The sequence below is a fragment of the Homo sapiens genome, chromosome 7, assembly GCF_000001405.40.
Source record: "Homo sapiens chromosome 7, GRCh38.p14 Primary Assembly".
In the NCBI taxonomy this organism is placed as follows: domain Eukaryota; kingdom Metazoa; phylum Chordata; class Mammalia; order Primates; family Hominidae; genus Homo; species Homo sapiens.
Window position 1 is genome coordinate 4,011,741 of NC_000007.14, and position 22,940 is coordinate 4,034,680.

The 22,940-nt window shown below is 45.3% G+C and overlaps 1 protein-coding gene across 5 annotated transcripts in view; it reads left to right on the top strand.

Annotated features, from left to right (window-relative positions):
• The window catches only part of SDK1 (sidekick cell adhesion molecule 1), a 967,749-nt gene that overhangs the window by 710,489 nt on the left and 234,320 nt on the right, over positions 1 to 22,940 (top strand). For all 5 annotated transcript variants that reach the window (NM_152744.4, XM_047420038.1, XM_047420037.1 and 2 more), the window contains 2 exons: positions 355 to 495; positions 5,431 to 5,612. In NM_152744.4, the coding sequence (NP_689957.3) occupies positions 355 to 495; positions 5,431 to 5,612 (323 nt within the window). The remainder of the gene's footprint in view (positions 1 to 354; positions 496 to 5,430; positions 5,613 to 22,940) is intronic.

Consider the following 22,940-nt stretch of genomic DNA (forward strand, 5'->3'; position numbering starts at 1 on the left):
ATATTGAAAGAGCCGGAGAAAACAGTTTGGGAGGAGTCTGAGACGGCAGGCCGACGAGCGGACGCATTCAGGCTTGCAGTCTTTCTAAAGGGCTGAGGTGCTGGGGTTATTCACACAGAACAAAGTCACCTCCACCTTTCCTCGTTGCTTGGTTAACTGATTTTCTATTATGTTGATTTGTGGTAACTGTTTCTCACGTCCTTTCAGTTTCATTGGCTGTGTGTTTTGCTTTTCCTGAAACCCGATTTTTGTGAATAGTCAGGCTCAAGATTCAGCAAGATAGATGAAATGCAAATGGGCCCCCGCTGTTTCTGGTACTCATCTCTCTTGTTCCTACCCGTCTTTTATTTATAGGTTGATGCTACCTGAAGAACCACCCAGTGCTCCCCCGAAAAATATAGTGGCCAGTGGGCGGACTAATCAGTCCATTATGGTCCAGTGGCAGCCACCCCCAGAAACAGAGCACAACGGGGTGTTGCGTGGATACATCCTCAGGCAAGTGCCCTGTGATTGGCCATCTTTAGGCCGCCATTAGAGTTGAGCGTCGATTTCACAGAGGGTTGCAAACTCTAATGTCTGTAAGAGCCAAACAGGAACCAAAGGAGTCAGGCCAGGTGTGAGATGTTAGGGAGTGGTGGAGACTGTGGCAAACTGGAGTGCACAGGCCAACGTGGGCAGCCGTGCAGAGACATTCTGTGCATATCTGACCATAAATGACACACACAAAACTGGTGTCAGGGTAGCATTTTGGCAGGAGAATGGAGGGGGTATTAGGGGTTGGAAGCAAGGTATATTGTTCAATGTGAAGCTTTTTTTTTTTTTTTTTTTTTTTTTTTTTTTTTTTTTTTTTTTGATGGAGTTTCTCTCTTGTTGCCCAGGCTGGAGTGCAGTGGCACAATCTTGGCTCAATGCAACTTCCGCTGCCTGGGTTCAAGCAATTCTCCTGCCTCAGCCTCCCGAGTAGCTGGGATTACAGGCATGTGCCACCACACCTGGCTAATTTTTGCATTTTTGGTAGAGACAGGGTTTCACCATGGTGACCAAGCTGGTCTCAAACTCCTGACCTCAGGTGACCTGTCCTCCTCAGCCTCCCAATCCTCAGCTGGGATTACAGGCGTGAGGCACTGCACCTGGCCTCATTGTAGGTCTTTTGATTCCATTTAAGTTTTCAACCAAGGGCATGTGTTGTTCAATACAGTAATTTTAAATTAAGAATAATTAATTTCATGTAATTATTAGCCAGTTGTCACCATGCTGGTATGTTGCTTGCTATTTCCAGAAATCCAAAGATCTAGCTTTGTACCTGAAACCTCCCAACTTTTAGATGTTGGAAATGAAATCAATATATTTGGAAACAAAGGGCAGGGCTAACACACACTTCTGCAGGCCAGATGTGGCTGAAGGGTAGCCAGTGTGCTGTCTTTGCTTTATAAAGGACAGTTAGGCTTCTAGAATTATTGGGAACACTGTATCTGAACTTGTCTGTGTTTGAGAGAAGAAACCTCCTTTGCCAAAACTGCTAATTTTAAAATTGCACTGAACGCGATCATTGCAGTAGCCTGTTGACACAAGTAAAAGCAAAAGTAAAGCAGAATTGCATAATAATTATTAAATCTCTTCTAATAGATTGCACCACTGTGGACATATTTGTTCATTTTACCAGTGATATTGGGACAAGAACAGTGGGTATCCGCTTATTCCCTTCCTGGGCTCGTTCCAAGTGTGTGATCAGTAAACAGTGGCTAACAAAGGTCTTCAGCAGACAGATGTAATTTCTTAGATAAATGTGAGAAATTGGGAAATGTTGCATCTTCAGCTTCATTATCCTTGTGTATGAAGGGCAACGCCTTCCCTGTATATATGTGTATAGCCATCCATTCATCATTTAATATGTGTTTTTCTATGTGCCTGGACTATTTGCCTGTCAAAACCAATTTGCCGCTGTTTACAAGTTTTTCCTCCAGCGTCGGGATTCTCTTCTAAATGTAAGCCAGACCGTGACCCACCTGAAGTGGTTTAAATGGGCCATCCCCAGGGGTACACAAATAGCTCCAATCAATAGCAAGGCCCCTTTTGTCTCGAGGCTCCAACTGTCCTTCCTCATTTCAAAGAAGGGGGAAGAGGAGCTTGCAGTTCTGTCCCCTCGGGGTGGGGGCCGCAGGCTCTGGTTCCTGTTGATCCCCTGGGACAGTTCCTAATTGCCTGACCACCTCCGCTCCAGAAAACAGCCCCGTGTCCCCGCCGCCTGCGGCCGAGGGCTCCTGTGGCACTGCTGCTCTTGCCCCTGCCTTAGCCATTACCTCTCATTCTGCACCCATCCACTAATGAGAATAATTGGCTGCCCTCTGTACCCAGCAGCACAGGCCTGTCATCCCTCTGCCTCTGCCTTTCTTCAGCATGTGCAGGAAGAGTTTCCTTAGGCTGAAGCCGTCAAGTAAGGACTTTAAAAGTCATCCCACAGAACCAGGCCCGGGGCACAGAGTTTAATAATAAAACCTCTCTGATGTTACGAGGCCACTTCGGGGACTGCACATTTCTCTGTTTTGTGGGATTACTACTGTTAAAAGGATTTTCTGTGATGGGGTCAGTAGAGTTGGGTGCTGGAGATGAGGGCATCTTCTGTATTTGCAGGAGCTTAAATCCAGAAAGCTCCAAGATGAGGGTGCAGTACCCTAGGCCTGTGAATATCAAAGTTTTCAGAAATGAAAGAGCCATGCCAAAGTGAATTTGCTTAAAAACATTTCCGCATAATCCTCTGGTCTGCACATCAGCTCTCTGTTTGCGAGTGTGTATCCTCCAGGGCACAGTCTCTGTGTCAGATCCGAGGCACAATGCAAGGAAAGCAAAGAGAAATAAATCACTTCCGTGGCTCCAGCCATAAGAAGTAGTTAGGACGCGTGTGCAGTAATAAAATATTTATAATAATAGGGAGGGTGTTTCTTTGAGAGGAGCATAGGGGTTATGTCCTTTATAAACGTTCTCCTGTTTATTTTTGTATAAAAAATCATCTTGTTCTGGCTGAGATGGTCTCCTGGGCAACATATCCTACCAGCAAGAGGAGGCTGCCCTGCACTTCCGTTATTGACTGTGACCTTCTTAGACATCCTGTGACTATCACAAAAGCACCCGGAGCCACTGGTCAGAATGGGCCAACGTGACTGTTCCGGAGGGGAGCGCAGGCTCTTTGGAAGATGTAAATTCTGCAGTTTGTTATTCACAGTGCTGTTAAGAGTGGCCCCAGAGAAGTTGGGTGGCTCATGCAGGTGTAGTTCCTTATAACTCATAGTTATCTCTACCATACTTCTCGGTAGAAGAGCAGTGTTTAAAAATGTATATATATTTAGGGAGTGCTTTACACCTTCACATCTCTTTTACATTCAGTGTCTCCTTTGACTCTTGCAACAAGAATGGAAATGCTACTGTCGTACCCACCTTAAAGAGGTGGAAACCAAGGCTCAGAGAAGTTTGGAATTTTCCCAACACCACCCAGCTTCTGAGTGGCCGTTGAGCAAAGTCTTCCGATGCTGGTTCCTCAGCTCTTCCCTGGAATGTGCATTGTGTAGCGTTGGGTCCACATGAGGAATCCTTCTTAAACGGCATCCTCATTCTGTCATAGTGATTACAGATGGTGCTTGGTGCCAGCATGCCCAGGCTACTCAGGTGCATGGTGTGGGCACAGAGCCAGTTTCTACCTTTTCCCAAATGGCTGTCTCAGTCCCATTTATTTTAAGCGTTCATCTTTTGTAGATGGTGAATGTAAGTGGAAATACCTGTCACACAGGTGAATCCATGCCAAGCCTTTCTCCCAGTGGCCCACCGCCTTGAGGACCATCATGCTACGTCGGTGATCTGAACACCACCTGAGAATTGCACGTGTACTTGCTTGGTGCAGGTCGTTCAGTAAAGGAGTCAGTGATGGACACACTAGGAAGCCAAAACATGGTTTGATAACTTGACTTTCATTTTTGCCCATCACGGAATAACGCTGTCCCTTCCCTGAGTCTCCCACCAGGCAAGCCCAGAGGCCACTTGCTCCTTTCAGGCAAGAGACAGAAGGAGGCCCGGTACCTTCTTGCTACTCAAGGGCCATCTGCTTATCATCATTTGTTTTCTATCAAACAGGCCCCACCAAGTGTACATGGTCGGCGGCAAGAGGGAACGGGAGAATGCTCTCGGAAACTCCTGATTTTTGTGAAGAACCTTGTGTGACCATTTCTCGATTTCCTCACTTCATTTTCAAGCCCTCCTTCTCTTGGGAAAGTTGTTTTACATTTTAGGGCCTGAATTTCTGGGTTTCTTCTCTGCTTCGGTGTCAGCAGCCTTACTGATGTTCCGGTCCACGCGTGTCTGTCTCAGCTCCTTCCCCTTCGTGCTCAGGTGCCCTGCCCGCGTGGGACCACACAGGTAATGGACATGGAATCTGCAGAACCACAGAGCTCAGAGATCAGCGTCCTGGAGGAGCCTGAAGATTTCCACATGCCGTGAAAAGCCAGCGGATTTGCTGCCACTCAAGTGTGGGACTGTGAGGCAGGAGCCACTTCTGGGATAGAAATTAGAGGCTTTTGGAAGCTGCAGGATGACAGGGCAGTCACTCCTACTGGGCATGCCCCTGGCTTTACCCAGAGGGGCTGATCCAGGAAAGCTCAATAAATTACCTGAGTCAGTTCAGTGCATTAACTTCTATAGACTGAATCATGGAGAAACATATGCTAATCAAAATAATACAATGCAAATCTTCTCACAGTACACACAGCAATTTCCTAATTTATACACCCTAAGTCCTGAGTTGTGTACATTATCTTTTTCATAAACACTACTTTAAATTTCCACCTTTAGTATGCTAAGAACATAGTACCCAAGCACTCACAGAGGTCTTCTACAAAGCAATTTGTCATAGTTAGTACTGGACTAGTATTTTAGAAATTTCAACACCTTTTCAAAGCCGCTGATTCTTGTTCTGGGATACACTTGGACAAACCTGCAATTCCTAAATGGAGCTCTGTCCCTGGACACCACAAGGCCGTGTGCTGCTTGCTTCTGGAAGTCTCCCCACGTTTCAGACTCACAAGAGGAAAGTGTTTCTCAAACTGATTTACAGCAACTCCCCGATGGAAATCATGTCTGGAATTTTTCGTCCTAAGTCACTGTAGTCCCTAGACGAGTTACATGTAAAAAGCTGTAATTTTTTCTTAACCGTTATGTAGTTGAAATGTCAGTTCCATTTTGCCTTGAGCTTATAATCACTGTGAGATTAGAGCACACTTTTCAAAATCATCGAGTTGGGAAATAGTATTGTTTAGGGCTGACCTCTCAGCTCTGCTCTTGATTATTTACTTCCATTTCCCCCTAACCCTGCGGAATAACTGCGGGTAAACACCGTTCCTGGGTCCAGTTATTTCCTTATCGTGATGGGCTTCCTTCGTGGCGCAGGTACCGCCTGGCTGGCCTTCCCGGAGAGTACCAGCAGCGGAACATCACCAGCCCGGAGGTGAACTACTGCCTGGTGACAGACCTGATCATCTGGACACAGTATGAGATACAGGTGGCGGCGTACAACGGGGCCGGTCTGGGCGTCTTCAGCAGGGCAGTGACCGAGTACACCTTGCAGGGAGGTAAGCTTGTCTCCAAAACCACGAGGTGGCGGGATCTTTGCCGGGGAATGGGATTTGCAAGGTTTGACTGGAGTACGTTAGAAAGAAAAACAGAGAATCCAGTCCCCTAGGGAGCGTTTACAAGAAAATTCATCACGTATTTAATGGGATCTCTCCAGCTATTCCTCAATGAAAACAGAACCGTAGACAGGAGACAAATAATATTCCAACTGCTTTTTCAGTGACTAAGGAAGTTTCTGTACACGCCTTTTGACGGGTGCATCTAGTCTTGAAAAGTCTGTGGAACTGGATTTTTCTAAATGGAATGATTGTAGGTTTTCACAGGAAAGCTGGCTGTGGAGTTCTGTGTGATACTGTGAGTGTTTTTCAAAGAGCACGATGATTATTCACAGTTTTATTTTTAACGACGTAACGTGATTACTGGTAATCGAATTTGCAACGTGGTACTTTTTTTGGTTGTGCTTTTCAGTTATACAAGCAAACAATCTACTAGGTCAATAAAAACTGCCCCCGACCCCTGGAAAAATTGACCAGACATAAACGTCATGAAGCCAGTGGTTCTTAAATATCCGTGGTGAGATCCGGGTGCGGCGTGGCAGGCTTTCCACAGCATCTGGTTCCTCCGCTGTTTTCTGAAAGATTCAGATCTCAGCCCCAGGAGGAGCCAGCATTGGGAGATCTCCTCCACATCTGCATTTCACTGTTACTGCTCTTAGCAGGAATAAACAGACCCTCTCCCAACACAGCCTCATTTGTCCTACAGCAGCCCAAATCCTTGCCCAGGGAAGTAATTTTTCTACTGAGTCTAAAATCCTTTTTCACTCTGCGATTTATGCCCTCGCCTGATTCACAGGTGTGATTTTATTTGCTTAGGCATTTTTATTGCTACCAGACCTTGACCTTTTTCAGATGACAAGGTTTCTGACTGCCCAATTCTCTCCCCAAATCATGCCTGAGACCTAATGTTCCTTGATATTACATGCTTTTATTATCATCCCGTATTGACTGGCTGTCTGTTGTCATCTGTAAGTCCATAAATCCTCCTTTATAAATTAAGTGCAGTCAGTTCTGCCTGCACAGCGACTAGAAGAAATATTTAAAATGCAGGACAGCCAGGAAGGACCTGTCCATATGCAAGTAATTCTTGATTACTCATTTGAAAAGGAAAATGGCTGAAAACCTGGACAGTTAACATTTGCTTTAACTGGTCTATTTAATAAATTAACAATAAACTTAGAAACACTTAAAAAGACTCATATTGCTATTAGTAATCCCTTATTACTATTAACTGTGACTGTTTCATTTTATTTCCGGTGCATTTGAGTTCTGCATGGGGCAGAGGGAAGTGGATCTCCACCTAATTGAGAAGGGCTTTGAGGCTTTGGACTCTGGCTTTTATTCAGTTGGCAGTGGGGAACCATGAAAGGCTTAAGATCTGTGAGTGACATGAGCAAAATGCTGCATTAGGGGCGGAATCTGTGCGTGGGTGTGCAGGGAATGTAGGAGGCGGGGAGCAGAGAATGGCAGCAGGGACTCTAGAGACAAAAAAAATGAATTGATGAGTGTCCTCTAGCTCCAAAGGCTGGCAATGAGAAGAGATAGGGATGTAAGTTTAGGTGGGACGCCATTGTTTTCAAAACAGCTCTCATGGATTCCAGGGTTGTGCCTTCCAGCAACCCTGAAAACGAATGCAGTTTCGGCCCCACAAGCACCTCCCAGTGCCTTCTGTACAACAGGGCTGGGTATAAAAACAGGAACAGGCCCAGTGCCTCCTGTACAGTGGGACTGGGTATAAAAACAGGAACAGAGCCCAGACCCTTCCTCAAAGTGCAGACAGTTTATAGGATACAGCAGGGCAAGTTTCATTTTCAGACACCTGTTCATAGGAAGCTGAACATTAGCTAACTGGAATTTAGTTGGTCAGAAATCACACAGGCCACAAAGGCAGAACCAGCACTGACATCCAGGCTTCCAAGACAAGACTGCTGTTCTCTGAGTGACATCAGCTGCCTCTGACGTCAGTAGGACTTGAGATTTCAGAGGAGATTTGGCGAGGGACTGTGCTTAGCTAGTGGGCTGGGGTGCAGGGTTCCCCTAAGATAGTGGCACAGTGGGTGGGGTCCCGCCTCCATGTCCAAGTAGTCTTCTGGATGGGGAAATTACTAAATTATGCATTGCTCTGGGAATGAACTTTTTCCCATATGTGATGAGAACCTGACTTCGATTGGTCCAAATCTGGTTCATCATCTATACTTAAAAAAAAAAAAATGCTCTTCATGAGTGAACGTTAGTGGATAATGCTGCACGTGCAGTTTCCCATCTGCAGCTCGGCTTCTGTAGCAGCACCATCCTTCCCTCACTTGGGTGTTTGACATTGGGGGTTGGTATACAGAGCCCCTCATGGGTCTCGGAGGGCCCAGCAGACACAGTCGTAATTCCTGTCTTCGTGTCTTCTTCATGTCTTCTGCCTCGGCACTCCTGGGAGCACCCTTATACAGATGTGGATGGCCCTCCCTTGTTCCCTTTTAAGCCTGGTGTGGAAACACAGGTGGCCCCGTCCTCCCTTTGAGGGACTCAGCCCTCCCTCTCTGGATGTCTCGGACTCCCGTGTGCTCAGTGGGATGGTAAATGCCTCTGGGGAATCTCCCTGGAGCTTGCTGGGATTGGGAAGGTCATGTCATGCTTTTCTTCCAGACCCTGACTCCAACCCTAAACCTATTCCTGGGCCACGAGGATGAACATCTCAGGCTTGTGACAGTCTCGGAGACGCCGGGCACCACCCACCTGACCCTTCTTTGTTCGAGGGACATGCTTGAGTCCCAGGATAAATTGGGGGCTGATAACAGTTACTGGCCAGAGTGTTAGGACACTATCCCTTGGACGTGGCTGGGGTCAGGCACGTGGCAGGCAGCAGGAAGGGTGGTCCATGGCCTGGGGGACATGGCTGGCTTGGCTGGCTGCACAGCCTTGATGCCTCAGTGTAGTCAAATGCACTTATCCCTCTGTGCTATTCAAGGACCTCCCAGCCAGCCACGCTGCCGCTGAACAGAATGAAGCGAGCGTATGAATTCTGTCCTGAATCCACGTTCCCCTCTGTGACAGTACATTGCTAGGAGATGACATCAGACCACCAGTCTAGAAAGAGCTGGGGAGGTGAAGGGAAGACGGGGGCAATGCTTGCCTGGCTCTGGAGGGGAAGATGCAATGAATGGGACAGAAAGGGATCTGCCTAGAAGGTGGCACATGAGGAAGCAGAGTGACAAGAGGGACTGTGAATGCATCAGGGGGACAGTGGTGGGGGCGCAGTGAGCGTGACGTTTCACACACACGTGTATATTCACACATCTTTCTGGATATGTGACCCCCAGAAAGAGCCCTTCCTGGGAGTCCATCCAGGCCTCACTCCATATTTACTACTAATGTGCCTTCAAGAAGCACCTGTGCCCGTTCTGAGCCTGCAGTTTTCATTTGTGAAACTGTGGCATTTACACCTGTCCTGACTCAAAGGGCACTGTGAAGAGGAGATGAGATACTACGTGTGAAAAGGCTTTCAAAACAAGGAGACATCACACACATGCCAGCACTGTGGCTTTGTCTGTATTCGTTTTTCCACTGTGATGAAGAGTGTCTACTAGGGTATTTGAATGCTTCCATAGGGGCCATTACACTGGAAGAGATCTGGGGGTCATCTCCCTACTGACAGTAACATCAAACAGAGACACTCAAGAATTGATGTGAGCACCTGCAGTTTGTGCAGAGTTGTGGGAAGGGCCCTGACCCCGAGGGTAGGGAAGATATCTGGTGTGTCATCATCCTTGGGGACCTGCAGTCTGGCCCTGGAGGTGAGACTGTCATTCATGAAATAAGAGCAGGAAGTAGAAAAGAAATCAGCCTCACTCATGCACGGTCACCCCTCATCTATCCACAGATCGGGGTACTGGGCGTGCTTTGAAGAGTCCTCAGTCAGCACCCAGAGGAACGGGCTATGGACACGAGGGTTGTGATCCACGTGGCGGGGACACCTCAGAGTTTGTGGCTATCTGTGTTGCTTAGGAATAGTGTCTGGCTGCTAGAAACAGACCCACAGTGACAGGAGCTTAAACAAGATAGAGCTGTGTTTTTACTTTTCTCACATCAGGGGGTTGGGCAGTAGGTGGGGCAGTCATAGCAGCAGCTCCGAGGTCATCAGAGATTCAGGGTTCTTTGTCTTTTTGGCTGCCACTTTAGCACGTGCCTCAGGTCACAAGCCTGCTGCTGCAGTGCCAGCCATTGCGTCCCCACTCTAGAAGGCAACAAGGAGAAAGCCTCAGGGTTGTGCCTTGGGAACGAGTATGCCCACCTTTAAGGAACTTTCTTAGAAGTTCCATTTGCTGCTGACTCTGCTTACAATTCCTGGAATTCTCTCCTTGTGGCAGAGGCTGGCAACGTGGCCTTCCAGCTGGGCACATATCTGTCCCTTGTTAAGGAAGGAAGGGGAAGCTCACAGCTTCTGCCTCACTTTCTAAGTGAGATGAAATCTGACAATGGGCTCCTGGCTTGCCTCACACAGAATGAAAACTGCAAAAGCACAGGTCCTTCAGGCCATGACTTCCCACCCATCCCCTGAGGGCTCCTCAGCCTCAGGCCCCCAGCTCCATGGGGCTGTTTGGGCATTAAGTGCTAAATGCTTATTTGCTGCTGGGAGCCCCACTTAGGGGCTTGAAGTACCCCCAGCTATTAGCACTGATTGTCAAGGCAGCCTAGGGGCTTGAGCAGGTCCTTGAAGCTGAAAAGGGAGTAATTAAAACGCCTGTAAACTGAAAGGGAAAGCATAACTCATAAAATTAATTATTTGTCGGCATAATTTGGGAAATTATTGGAATGTCTACAAAGAGAATTCGACAGCATGTCAGAGAGCATGCAGAAGGCAGGAAATGCCCAGCCAGGAGAAGAAGGAAGCCCTAGGCCAGCCAGCCTCATTTCTCCTCCTCCCTTCAGTGAGTGGCAGCTTGAGGTATCCGGGGAAATGAGATGTAATTCATCTTGACTTTAATAAGGCCCTTGGATTGAGCTCCTCCTGAGAAAGTATCCGAATGCCCGGGAAAGATGGTGCAGCGTGCGCTACCATTAGGCGGGTGTGGAACTTGCTAGGCTGCCGTCTCAAAGAGAACTCAGCAGTGACACAGCATATGCCTGGGCTGAGGGAGGGAAGGGCATGCAGGCTGCCCTGGTTGGCACAAGCAGCAGGCAGGGAGCAATGGAGAAGCTGTCTGCTGCAGGGGGAGGTAGCAGCTCATTCTTCTAGAGCATACATTTTTGGTCTCAAATGTGTTTCCTTCCAGGCAACTCCTTAAGGAAGATCAGCAGTATGTAGTGAGCACAGTGCGATGTTGACCCCACCACTCACTGGCCACACTCCTCGTTTTTCTTTTCTTTCTTTCTTTCTTTTTTTTTTTTTTTGAGACAGAGTCTTGCTCTGTCTCCCAGGCTGGAGTGCAGTGGCGCGATCTCGGCTCACTGCAAGCTCCACCTCCTGGGTTCACGCCGTTCTCCTGCCTCAGCCTCCCAAGTAGCTGGGACCACAGGCGCCCGCCAACATGCCCCGCTAATTTTTTTTGTATTTTATTAGAGACGGGGTTTCGCCGTGTTACCCAGGATGGTCTCGATCTCCTGACCTCGTGATCCGCCTGCCTCGGCCTCCCAAAGTGCTGGGATTACAGGTGTGAGCCAACACGCCCGGCCCTTGTTTTTCTTTTCAATCCCATTTATGGCTCAGATATATTTACAATGCATGGTTTGTCCACTCCAGTTCTTCGCAAGCTCTCGGCATGGGCTAGCACCTTGGACACATGGGGATTACTTAATATAAACTTTCTAACTTTCCTGACTTTTCTTATCCCCCTTCATCCACCATCCCCCATTATCTTGTCGGCCAATCCCATTTAATAGATTTTATTAACGGTGACTCCATGACCTTTTCAGCTCAAGGCATTTTAAAATGGGACATATTAACTTACAAATTGAGCAGCAAAGCTCTAATACAGTTTCAGCCAAGTGAACTTTCTGAGGGGTGAGAGGAAAGGTTGGTGCTCTCACAGAAGCTGTGGCCTGAAACTCCAACAGACTCAGTTCCGCATATCAAATTTCCATGATGATTACCCACGATGAAATGGAAAATAACTGAAATTTACTCGAGAATTTTAAATTTAAATAACCGAAATGGACTCAGAAATCAATACGCTTTTGGTGTCGAGTGGAAAAAATTCCGCGGAGTGTAAGTTGTGTATAACCGAGTGCCCAGTATAATTAGAAACATTTTTCTTACTGCCAGTGTTTACTTCAGCAACTTTCTAATAGTGTAGCTTGGGAGGGAGAGTACTATAGTCATTTGAAGCAATCAGTAGTTCATATCGATGCTGACTCGCTGTTTGGCTCACAAATTCAGTTTTTGTTAGAAATTGTTCAAATAATGATGAAAGACACAGGAAGAAAGAATGTGGCTGTGAAGTTTTCAGGTGAACCTGAGTGTGGAACACTGGACACTGCCAGGATATAAAATGTAATCGATTACAGTTTTGTCCTAAAACAAGCCTGTATGGATTAGCAAACTCCTTCTATACATTTTTTGAATTCATCCATTAAGACGCAGATGTTGGTTTTTCTAGAAGGGGTCCAGAGACAAATTATGCTATAAATCATCATTCTGAGCACACCAAGATTTTCCTTTTTTTCTGGTTTTATTTCTTTATCATTTTTCTTCTTGTAACAGGTATATTTGTGCTGTAATGATTTATTCTGGTTTCAGAACATTACCTTATAATGAAAGAGAAATATTTCATATTTTAAAAGAAATGGAAAAAACATTTGGTTATCCACATTTCTAAAACATTAGTAAAAGCTCCTAAATGTTCACTTGGGCTTTGAAAGGTTTTCTAAAGTAAGGATTATAAATGAGCACTCTGTTTGCAAGCCCCATTCTTATCTCCTCTTGGGAAATTCTCAATGTGGCATTAAATGACATTGCACAAAAGATTTGTTTCTCAAGCCCTACAAGACTTTCTAGACCTCAGGCTGTACCTGCAGAATAGGATAATGTTCCAGATTCTCCCAGCGTTGCCTAAAACACTAAGTAAAAACTGAACAAAATAGATATGGAATATTCCATTAGGGGTGGGCTTCCTTTGGTCTTTTAGAACCTACAGGAAGACAAAGGACAGGAAGCTCATGCTTTAGGGGAAGCCACTGTGTACCAGCCTTCACCATGCTGTGCCACGTCCTTACATTCACTGTCTTACTCCATTCATCCCTGGGGGTCACATAAGATAAGCATCATATCCCTATTGGACAGAGGCAAAGATGGAATCTCAGTGAGGTAACTCACTTTCCCAAGGTGATATAGCTGGACAATGCTGAGAAATGCCGGAGCCGAAACTTAAGTCTGCTGGGCTCCCAAGCCCAGGCTATCATCTGCCATTACTACAGTTTATGTTTTTTGTTTTTGTTTTTGTTTTTCATTCTGTGTATATCAGCCCTGGTGAAAAATGACTTCCAGATTCCCACAGCCGCATTATGTGGAATAGAAAAGACATGGGCGTGCTTCTCACTCTGCCGCCGTAGAGGGTGGGTTTGCAGTGGTTTCTGAGCACTTTGGACTGCGGTGCACAATGAGAACTCTATTTTGCATTCACACACACACACACACACACACACACACACACAAACAGAGCATCCATGGAACAATAGTGACTCTCCCAGTGTATGTGTACTTTGGTATTTTCTGTTCTATTCCATTCTGTTTCATTCTTTAAAACAATGCTGCTGTGACCACGGAATTGATTTCCCTATCCACGAGTGTATTTGTGACCTACAGTTTGAAAAATCCTGAATTCCAGCAATACAGCAACACTGTTTGGTTTGACTGATTCTTGCCTCCCTTTCGGAAAAAGCTTCCGCCGAACAGAGGATTCATCAGGGTCTCGGCTATGAAGCCTGTCTTATCCTTTCAACTGTAAAGACAGACGGGTCTGAGTGAGGGCGTGAGCAGGGCCGCCAGCCGAGGCACATAGCGGAGGACTGGGGTGGAGCAGGGCAGGTAGGGTTTAGCATCTGTATCGGTGCAGATCACCTCTGTGCACACAGAGAAGGGGTTCCTGGGACTTACCCTTCACCTGCCGCTAGAGGACATGTGGAAAAATAAACCAATCTAAGTTACTGTGAGCATCACCTTATTTTGTGATTCGCAGGCCTGTCTTTCCTGCTAGCCTAGGAACCCTGTGAGGGCAGGGGCTGTGTCTGATTTGTCTTTTTCATATCTGTATCCCCATATCCAAGCACAATGCCTGACCTATAAGTAAACAAAGCATAAAATAGATGTCTGATTGAAAACACAGGGCTTATTGTTCCTGTTTCAACACCCAGTGCTGCACCACTTTAATCTCCATCTTCAGCACCATAGCCTGCCTTCTGCCCTGACTCTTGCTGTCTCGAAGTCTCGGAAGAAAGCAGTCCTGAGCCCTGTCACATGTGAGTTAGGCCTTCCTGTCTTTCTGCCTTGTGATGTCCAACAGCAACCCTTCCTGGGTGCCGCCCACACTGAGCCTGGCTTTGCTCAGGAGCCTAAATGCAGAATCTTTCCTCCTCCCCCTCCCCTGCTGGAAATGCTGAATCCGGGACTGCAGCCCAGAAGGCGCATGGGGAAATTAGGTCCACGAACGCGTCCCCAGCGTTGGGGAGGTATGCCACTCAGCACCCTGGACACGCCAGGCCGCAGCGCTGGTCTTCCACAGTCCCCATGCTGTATGGAAAAGGCCCCTTGCCCCACGGCTGGAGAGGGGAGCTGGTCGTGGGAAGAGTGGAAGAGAAACCACAAACATGCAATTTTCAGATGCGGAGAATGCAGAGACAGGGCATGGGAAGTGGGGGTCGGGAGAGGAAGAGGAAGAGACACCAAGTCGGCAGGAGCCCAAGCGAGTGGCCAGAGCTTCCACCCTCGGTGGCCTTGGGCCCATGTTTTAGAAGCTCAGCGTTTGGCATGGGCGAAGATATATTTTAGGAATGAAACTGGTATTTTGTGAATAGAAATAACATCTTGTTCCTAACTGACTTCAGAGTCAGACGACTGGCTTCACGAGGGCCCGGTGTGCAGACAGCCTGCCAGGGCCTGCGGGCTCTCCCCACGTGCTGTGCCCCCACCCCAGCCCAAACACTGGCCCCAAATGCTTCTCTTCAATGCCTGGCAAGTAAAGATTTGGAAAAAAAAATAAGTTCAGAAAGGAACACACAAAACTTTTTAAGTGTTAAAGTATTTTCTTCTGAAGGCCATCAGAAAAGAAACTTGAGCTTATTTGTCAAAGGTTTGTTAACCTAATAATGCCGTAGAAATGTTTAATGCAGTGAGAACCTTCAGGTCTATCAAAACTGCAAGCACCATAACAACGCGAGAACTCAGCCGTGGCCCATAACAATCTGGAATTAACGATAACACCCGGCACACAAACGGCAATATGTACACCCACCCAGCGGTGTGCGGCCGGTGACTCTACCAGGTAACGAACTCACCGCTCCCTGGTTTCAAAGGCGTATACATTTAATTCTATGTGGTAACCTGGAGAAATGGACACCTGTGAATCCCTGCTGTGTTCTGGATAGATGCATCAGTCCCTTATAGTTTAAACCATGTACATTTGGGATCATGAAAAACGGTGTGTGCTGTTGTGCAGGACGTGAAGATTTGTGCTTCTTGCATCGTGGGGTAGAAGCAGCTCCCCCACTGGCTGCTCGGCTCCCAGCCCCTGGCTTGCTAGAGGAGATCGGAGCCAGCAAGTGGTCCCTGAATGGTCCAGTGAAGGCTGCCGAGCACCCAGGAGAACTGATACTGCACCTGAGGGTCATGGACGATGAAATTTCACTGTGTAGAGAAACTGAGATTTCACGGTTTATGTGTAACAGGGAAGGTGGTGTTGCTTTAGTAAATAGAACTGGGCATGTTAGAATATCGGCAAGTGCACTCTAATTTCCTCCTGTGCCAAATCCAGCTGATTTTACAGCATTCTCAGTGGGCTCCTTAGCATGTGTAGGTGGGGTTTGCACAGTCCCGTAGGGATACTAAGTAGGATGTAGAAATTGCTCATTCCTTACTGCAGAGGCCTGGATATTCACATCCACCTGGCCCAGGAGGGCCTATGAATTGCTCTCCCAGCACCTCCTAATATCAGTTTATTAATTTTATTTGACATGTTGCAAATCTCCAAAACATCCTAGAGCTCCATGCTTAGCATGAGTTTCCTCGGATTAACCATCATTTTCTACTATTTCTCCGTTTATGTAGATGGAAGAGAAGATGAATAGTAATAATCTTTTCTCAGGGGTGTTGCAAATAAGCTTTATATTAATTTCATCACATTATATGACTTAAATATCAAAAATAAAAATGTGTGTCTCTCTCTTCAGCAGCAGGGAAAATACCTGCTGGACGTAGTCACAGACTCTGTGGGCTTTAACTGGCAGCAAACGGTCCTGGTAGAGGAGAGGAGAAGGGGGAGAAGGGGCTTGTGGGAACGAGAGTAGGGGCTTTCTATCAACCAATTAATTAGGATCTAGATAGAATAAAAGCAACAAGCAGGGGAAGAATGGAGGAGGGGAGGGAGAGAGGGAAGAAAGAAAGGAGCAGAGAGGAAGGTAGGCAATTAGGTAAGAAGGGGAGGAGGAAGGAAGGGAGGAGAAAATAAGTAGAAAAGCAAATTGACAGTGGTGGTTCTCAGAGATGGTCTGTGGACCCACAGAATCAACATCTCCTAGGAACTTGTTAGAAATACAAATTCTCGGGCCTTACTCCAGACCCACTGAATCAGAAACTCTTACCATATGTGTTTCGACATGCCCTCCAGGTGACTCTAACACCCACTCTAATTTAGGAACCTTCTTTAGGCATTGATAGGTAGAAGAATGTAATACCAAGGACTAATAACCATGAGCCCCACCAGCTGTCATAGCAGAGGGCTTGTACCCACGGAGGATCAGTCCAGGCTCCTGGAGAGAAACAATAAGCAACAGTCCCCGTGAACCACAGCATGTGACATGTGACATCACCACGTGTGCAGGCAAATCTCTCAGAAGAAACCTCAACTGTGTCTCAGGAAACTCTGGTGGTTGGGTGGGAGGCTGGAGTCTCCTTAAAATAAAGGTCATGACTTTGGGAAAAAGGTGGATATGGGTGATGACACATTGTCTACATAAGAGGACTGAGCTGTTGGGACCAAGGTGAACCAGTGAAAACACACGTTTGGAGGAGGCTAGAATTTCATAACACTTTATGTCCCACATTTCCACCTCTAGCTCTCTGGAGGACAGGCTGGGAAGGTCTCATTGGCCACACTGACTTCCAGTCAAGTATCCCTTTTCTTCTGGTTTTGATCGGCTCCCTGTCAAGATGAATGAGATTTTTGTTAAACACGGGATTTTGTTGTGACTTGGGATGGGGTTCATCTCAAAAAGGAGAGGAAGAGCCCATTCAGCGGAAAACCCATTGGAAGATGAGGAGTGGAGAGGAAATACTTGGACGGAGCTCTGCAACACTTGATGGGGACAGGACTCCAGGTTCATGTAAAAGGAAGACGCCAAGAGAAGCACAACCCTGTAATTCCTGTAATTCCCAGGAAGCCATCACCAGGGGTCACGTCGGGTGTGCTCAAAGTGCGGCACATTCTACCAACCCCGTTTGCTTTTCCGAGGGGGGTGGGGGTCACTGAATTGATAGACCTTTTCCGAGGTGGGTGGGGGTCACTGAATTGATAGACCTTTTCCGAGGGGGGTGGGGGTCACTGAATTGATAGACCTAAATACCATATTCATCCTGTAGCTTGATTTTCTTTCTTTTATTCTTTCTTTTTTTTTTTTTTTGTGAAGAAGTCTCACTCTGTCATCCAGGCTGGAGTGCAGTGGCACAATCTCAGCTCACTGCATCATCCACTTCTTGGGTAAAGCAATTCTTGTGCCTCAGCCTCCTGAGTAGCTGGGATTATGGGCACGTGCCACCACACCTGGCTAATTTTTGTATTTTTAGTGGAGACAGGATTTCACCATGTTGGGCAGGCTGGTCTTGAACTTTTGACCTCAAGTAATCTGCCCACCTGGGCCTCCGAAAGTGCTGAGATTACAGGTGTTAGCCACTATGCCCTGCCGATTTTCTTTCATTCACTCATTCATTCATTCATTCATTCATTCAGTAAGCACTTTGTAGATAAGATGAGAAATATGGATTGGGTAATAGGTCATTAGATGGACTCCCACTCACATCACCCAAGCAGGGTGGGGATTGAGCTATGCCCAAAGAGTGTGATTTACTTGATCAGCCACCACTTGGAGGGTGACCTCAACAAACTCTAGCATGCTGGGCTTCTCCTGGGCAGTACCGTCTGTGACTTGGAGCAAATGGAGATGGCATCCCTGTCAAATATGCAGGTGTCACAGCTAAGGGGGTAATTCATCGATTCTGCCCCAGAATCAGAAATCAAAAATAAATTGCTTTGTTAGATTGGTGGTTGGAATCAACACACTGAAATGTAGAAAGGATAAGCCAACATGCTGCACTCGGATACAACAACCACTAACGTGGCAGCAGGATGGGGAGACGTGACTTGTCACCAGTTATAACACTTGGGGTTTACACCCAGAGAGAGCTGTGACCGTAACTTAAACTCTCTGTGGATGACAGGTTTCCAGATCGAGGTAAATGGCAGCACCATACAACCCTGTACTGGCTAGATGCGCGTCAAGCATCGGCTCCGGGTGCCTGGCCACCAGGGGAAGCAGGAAAATTCAGGCCCCTCTGAGGAGCAGAGCCAGAGGGGCAGTGCTTCATCTGTCTCATCGTGTGAGCCACACAGAGAGAACCAAGGCATGTGTTCCTCCTATCATAGTCAAGTCCAGTTAGATATCTTTGTGACATTCAAATAGTGTGACAGCTATATATGTGTACGAAAACAGCTTACGCAGAAGACAGAGGGGAACCAATGGGCAGAAGTTGCTCAAAGAAAGATTTCAGTTCAGCATAAGGGAAATCCTCCTTATGATGTACACCCTGCACGAGTTGACGTAAGGAGCAGGAAGGTTGGGTCCAAGAAGTTTTGCTGGTGGCAGTTGACAGGTCGCAGGCTTGGGTGAGGTGACAGGACTCCTGCCCAGCAAGTTGGCACATGCCGTGACCTAGGAGGGCCCCTGGGGCACCTTCTCCTCCAGTCTGCATAACTCTATCTGGACATCATCAACGGGCTTTTCATACGCGCCTTGGTGCTATGAAGCTTCACACAAGAAGCGTTCGGCACCAACATTCAGGTGATTTTAATTTCATATAACAAAACCATGATGCTGAATGGAGCGTATGTATTCCAGCTTGCGTCCATGCCTTGGCATGTTCCCAGGTTGCACTAGCCTTCCCGCTGTGTTTCATCTGGCAATTATCACTTATATTTAAAGCTTTGGCCCAGGAACTGTCTCCTCCGTAGGGCCTCCTTTAAAGAATTCCATGCTGACCTGCACTGTAGCACTATTACACAGAAGTGTAAATGTCTGCTTCCCCTACTACACTATGAGCTCCATTAAGGCAGAGACATCGAACTTAGATTTGTTACATAAACACAAAGAAAGGACCAGGTTTCATAACAGTAGGCCCCCATACATACACATTCACATACATGCGCAAACAGAGACAAGTATACATATACATGTATACATACACATCTGCATCTATATATACACATGCACACACATGCATGTGGACACGTATATATACATGGACACAGATAAGTCTATATACACATATTTAAGTATACATAGATATGTTCTTGTACATGTATATATACACGTACATCTGTACATCCTCACACATACACATATGCATGCAGTTATCAGATAAAATCGGCTTCTGTGTAATTGAAAATCTAAAGCCAAAATAATTATTTCAGCAAATTATAATATTTATAAATTGAACTTGTATATTTTGCCATATTATTAGTCTGTAATCTTTTATCACAGAATTTTTAGGGAGGAAAGGAAAAGTTTACTAGCCAATGGTAATGTTACTCATAACAGAGAATCAATAGATTGTATCCAGAGAAAGAGAGGACTAAGGTTCTATGTAAACGTCTGAATTATGTGTGTATAAACATTAGAGCAAAAGTACAAAAACCTTCCCGATTACTAAAACATATCAAAAAAGAGAGAAAACAGACCAAATAAAGACACACACACTTACATATGTCAAGAAGTGTACATGTAATTATATGTATGTAGAGAAATATATGTAGATATAGCAACTATCTACATATAAATATATGTAGATATAGCAAATATATGTAGCTATATGACAGAAGTGAAGTGAAATTTATTGATTATATCAATAAATATACTGGACTTAATTAGCTTTATAAAAATAAATAACATTTCCCCAGCACTTTGGGAGGCCGAGGTGGGTGGATCACCTGAGGTCAAGAGTTCTAGACCAGCCTGGCCAACATGGTGAAACTCTGTCTCTACTGAAAATACAAAAATTAGCCGGGCATGGTGGTGCACGCCTATAATCCCAGCTACTCAGGAGGCTGAGTCAGGAGAATCGCTTGAACCTGAGAGGCAGAGGTTGCAGTGAGTTGAGATAGCGCCACTGCACTCCAGCCTGGGTGACAGAGTGAGACTCTGCCTCAAAAAAAAAAAAAAAAAAGTACATAGATAGATAGATCGATCGATCGATCATGTCCTAGGCCACAGAAAACCCAAACAGGTCCAAAGAATGCAGACAAATGCACCAGATAAGAAAGTTGCGGATTAGTTTTATCTTAAGAGTGTTGATGGGAAAAGCTAAAATGGTAAAAATTATCAAAATCCAACAGTACATTTAAAACAGTAGATCATATTCAAGTGGGATTTATTCCAAGAATGCAGTTTTGATATTTGCCAATATTCAATGCCCATCTGGAGTACAAGCATATGATAAAATAGAAATGTATTGACATTTATTTGATACGGTAAACTGTGCATGTACCTCAAGCTCTCAAATCTGCATTCCCCATCTACTTGACTGGGAAACCCTACAGGCATTCCTGCTGAAGGCAGAAGCGTAAGGTAGTCCACAGTCTCCTCTGCTCTTTAATATTGAAATCGACACATTTGCCACAGCTGTAGACAAGAGAAAGCAAGGCGAGGTATAAATCCCCAAAAGGAAGTGATTAAACTATCTTTATTTGCAGATAATAATATATGATATCTGGAAACTACTATGAGCAATAAAGAATTTAGCAAACTAGCAAGCTATAAAATCAGCATGAAAAAACAAACCGACTTCATATGCACAAGCAAAACATAGCTTGAAGTTGTAATCAGAGAGAAGATCCCATTTACAATAACAGAATAACATTAGAAAAGAAAAGAAAGCTGGGGATAAACTTAAGAAATAGCAAACACATACGAAGAAAAGTACAAATGCTGCTGGAAGTTACTAGAGAAGGTGTAAACAAACGGACCGTGTTTTTGAACAGGAAGACTCAACATCACAGGGAAGTTAGTGCTCCTTGTGTGAATTTAGAATTGTCACATGATCCCCAATAAAATAATAACAGATTTTTTTCTGGAGCTAGAAAAGTTAATTTAAAATTCATTCATAAAAATAAATGAGCAAAAATAGTCAGGAAACTTCTGAAATAAAAGTAATGAGGGTGGACTAGTCTCCTTTAGGTATTAAAACATATTGTAAAGTGCTGTAACTAAAATGGTGTGTCTATTGGTGGATGACTAGAAGATGTCCGGAACAGAACAGAAAGCCCAGAAATGGACCCCATTCGATATGGCAATTTAGTATATAATAAAAGGACATCTTGAATAACTGAATAAAATAGACTTTTTGATAAGCATTATTGAAATAAGTGGATACCTATATGGAAAAAATACAAAACTGTATCCATTCCCTACCCCCATATACAAGGATACATTCCAAGTGGATCGGAGATATCAATATTAAAAATATGAAACTGTACAAGTACTAGAATAAAACACTAGTTTTAGTCTCTCTAACCTGGAAGTGGGGAAAACTTGTCTAACAATGACTCAAAATCTCGAAGCAATAATGAAAAGATTGATGAACTGACTATTTAGAAGCTTTAAAAAGCTAAAATATTCCATATGCAAAAAAATACAATGAGCAAAGGAAAACAAGACAAATAGCAAATTGGGGGAAATCTTTGCAGTTTATATCCCAGAGAAATGGTTAATATCTCTATATTAAGAGCTCTAAAACAGAGAAGAAGAAGAAAATTAGAAGAAAAATGGGCAAGCTCTATGAAACAAGAGTTCACAGAAGTGCAAATGGCCCATAACCACAGGAGAATACGCTCAACCTTATCAAGGTAACACATAAAAAGTGATGGTACACAGACACACAGAGAACAATGTGATAAAAATGCAAAAGTCTGACAATACTCTGATGAGGCTCGGGGGAGGGGGAAGAGGCATTGCTGCTAGGAATGCAATGATACAACCCCTAATTAATTCAATCCAAACACATCAGTGGGTGCTAGAACTAGTGGGAGAAGTTTGATGAGGAACAGGATAGACTCCTCACAAAGTATGTATACATCACAAAGGAAAAAAAACGGAGTAACTCGACCCTGGAGAAACCTGGCAGTGAGTGGTTGCAGTTAGCACCACCAGTAATGGGGCACCTCAGAACTGTGTACCACTGGATAGGATGCGATGAAAAGAACACAGCCTCGCCTCTGTGCTATTCGTGCCTACGATGCAAGCCTGAATCAAGTTAAAAAGAAACATCAGATGGACTCAAACTAGGAACATATTGCACAAGAAATTGGACGGCAGCCTCCAAAAGTGACAAGGTCATGAAAGTCAAGAACTACTCCAGATTGAAGAAGACGAAAGAGACATGATTCCTAAATGCAGCATACGATCAAAATTGGATTCTGTCACCACAGAAGACGTTGTGGGAAAACAGGAGAAACCGTAGATTAGATGGCAGTCATGTGTCAATGCCGACGTCCCGGTTTTGATGCCAATATTGTGGTTACCTGGTGAGTGTTCTTGGAAGTACATACTCCAGTATTTGGGGGTGATGGGCCTCATGTTAGCAGCTCACTCTCAAACAGTTTTTAATGTCTTTATACAATTTGAAATTCTTTGTAAATTTGAAATATTTCAAAATGAAAATTATCTTTGGCGTTTAAAAATGTTTCTCATTCTTTTTCATTTAAAACACAAACTGATGCAGCCCCTGAAGCAGGACAAGTTAGCAGTAACTAATTAACCTGTTTACCTTCTCACTCACAAACTCGACTTTTAGGAGTTTATTCC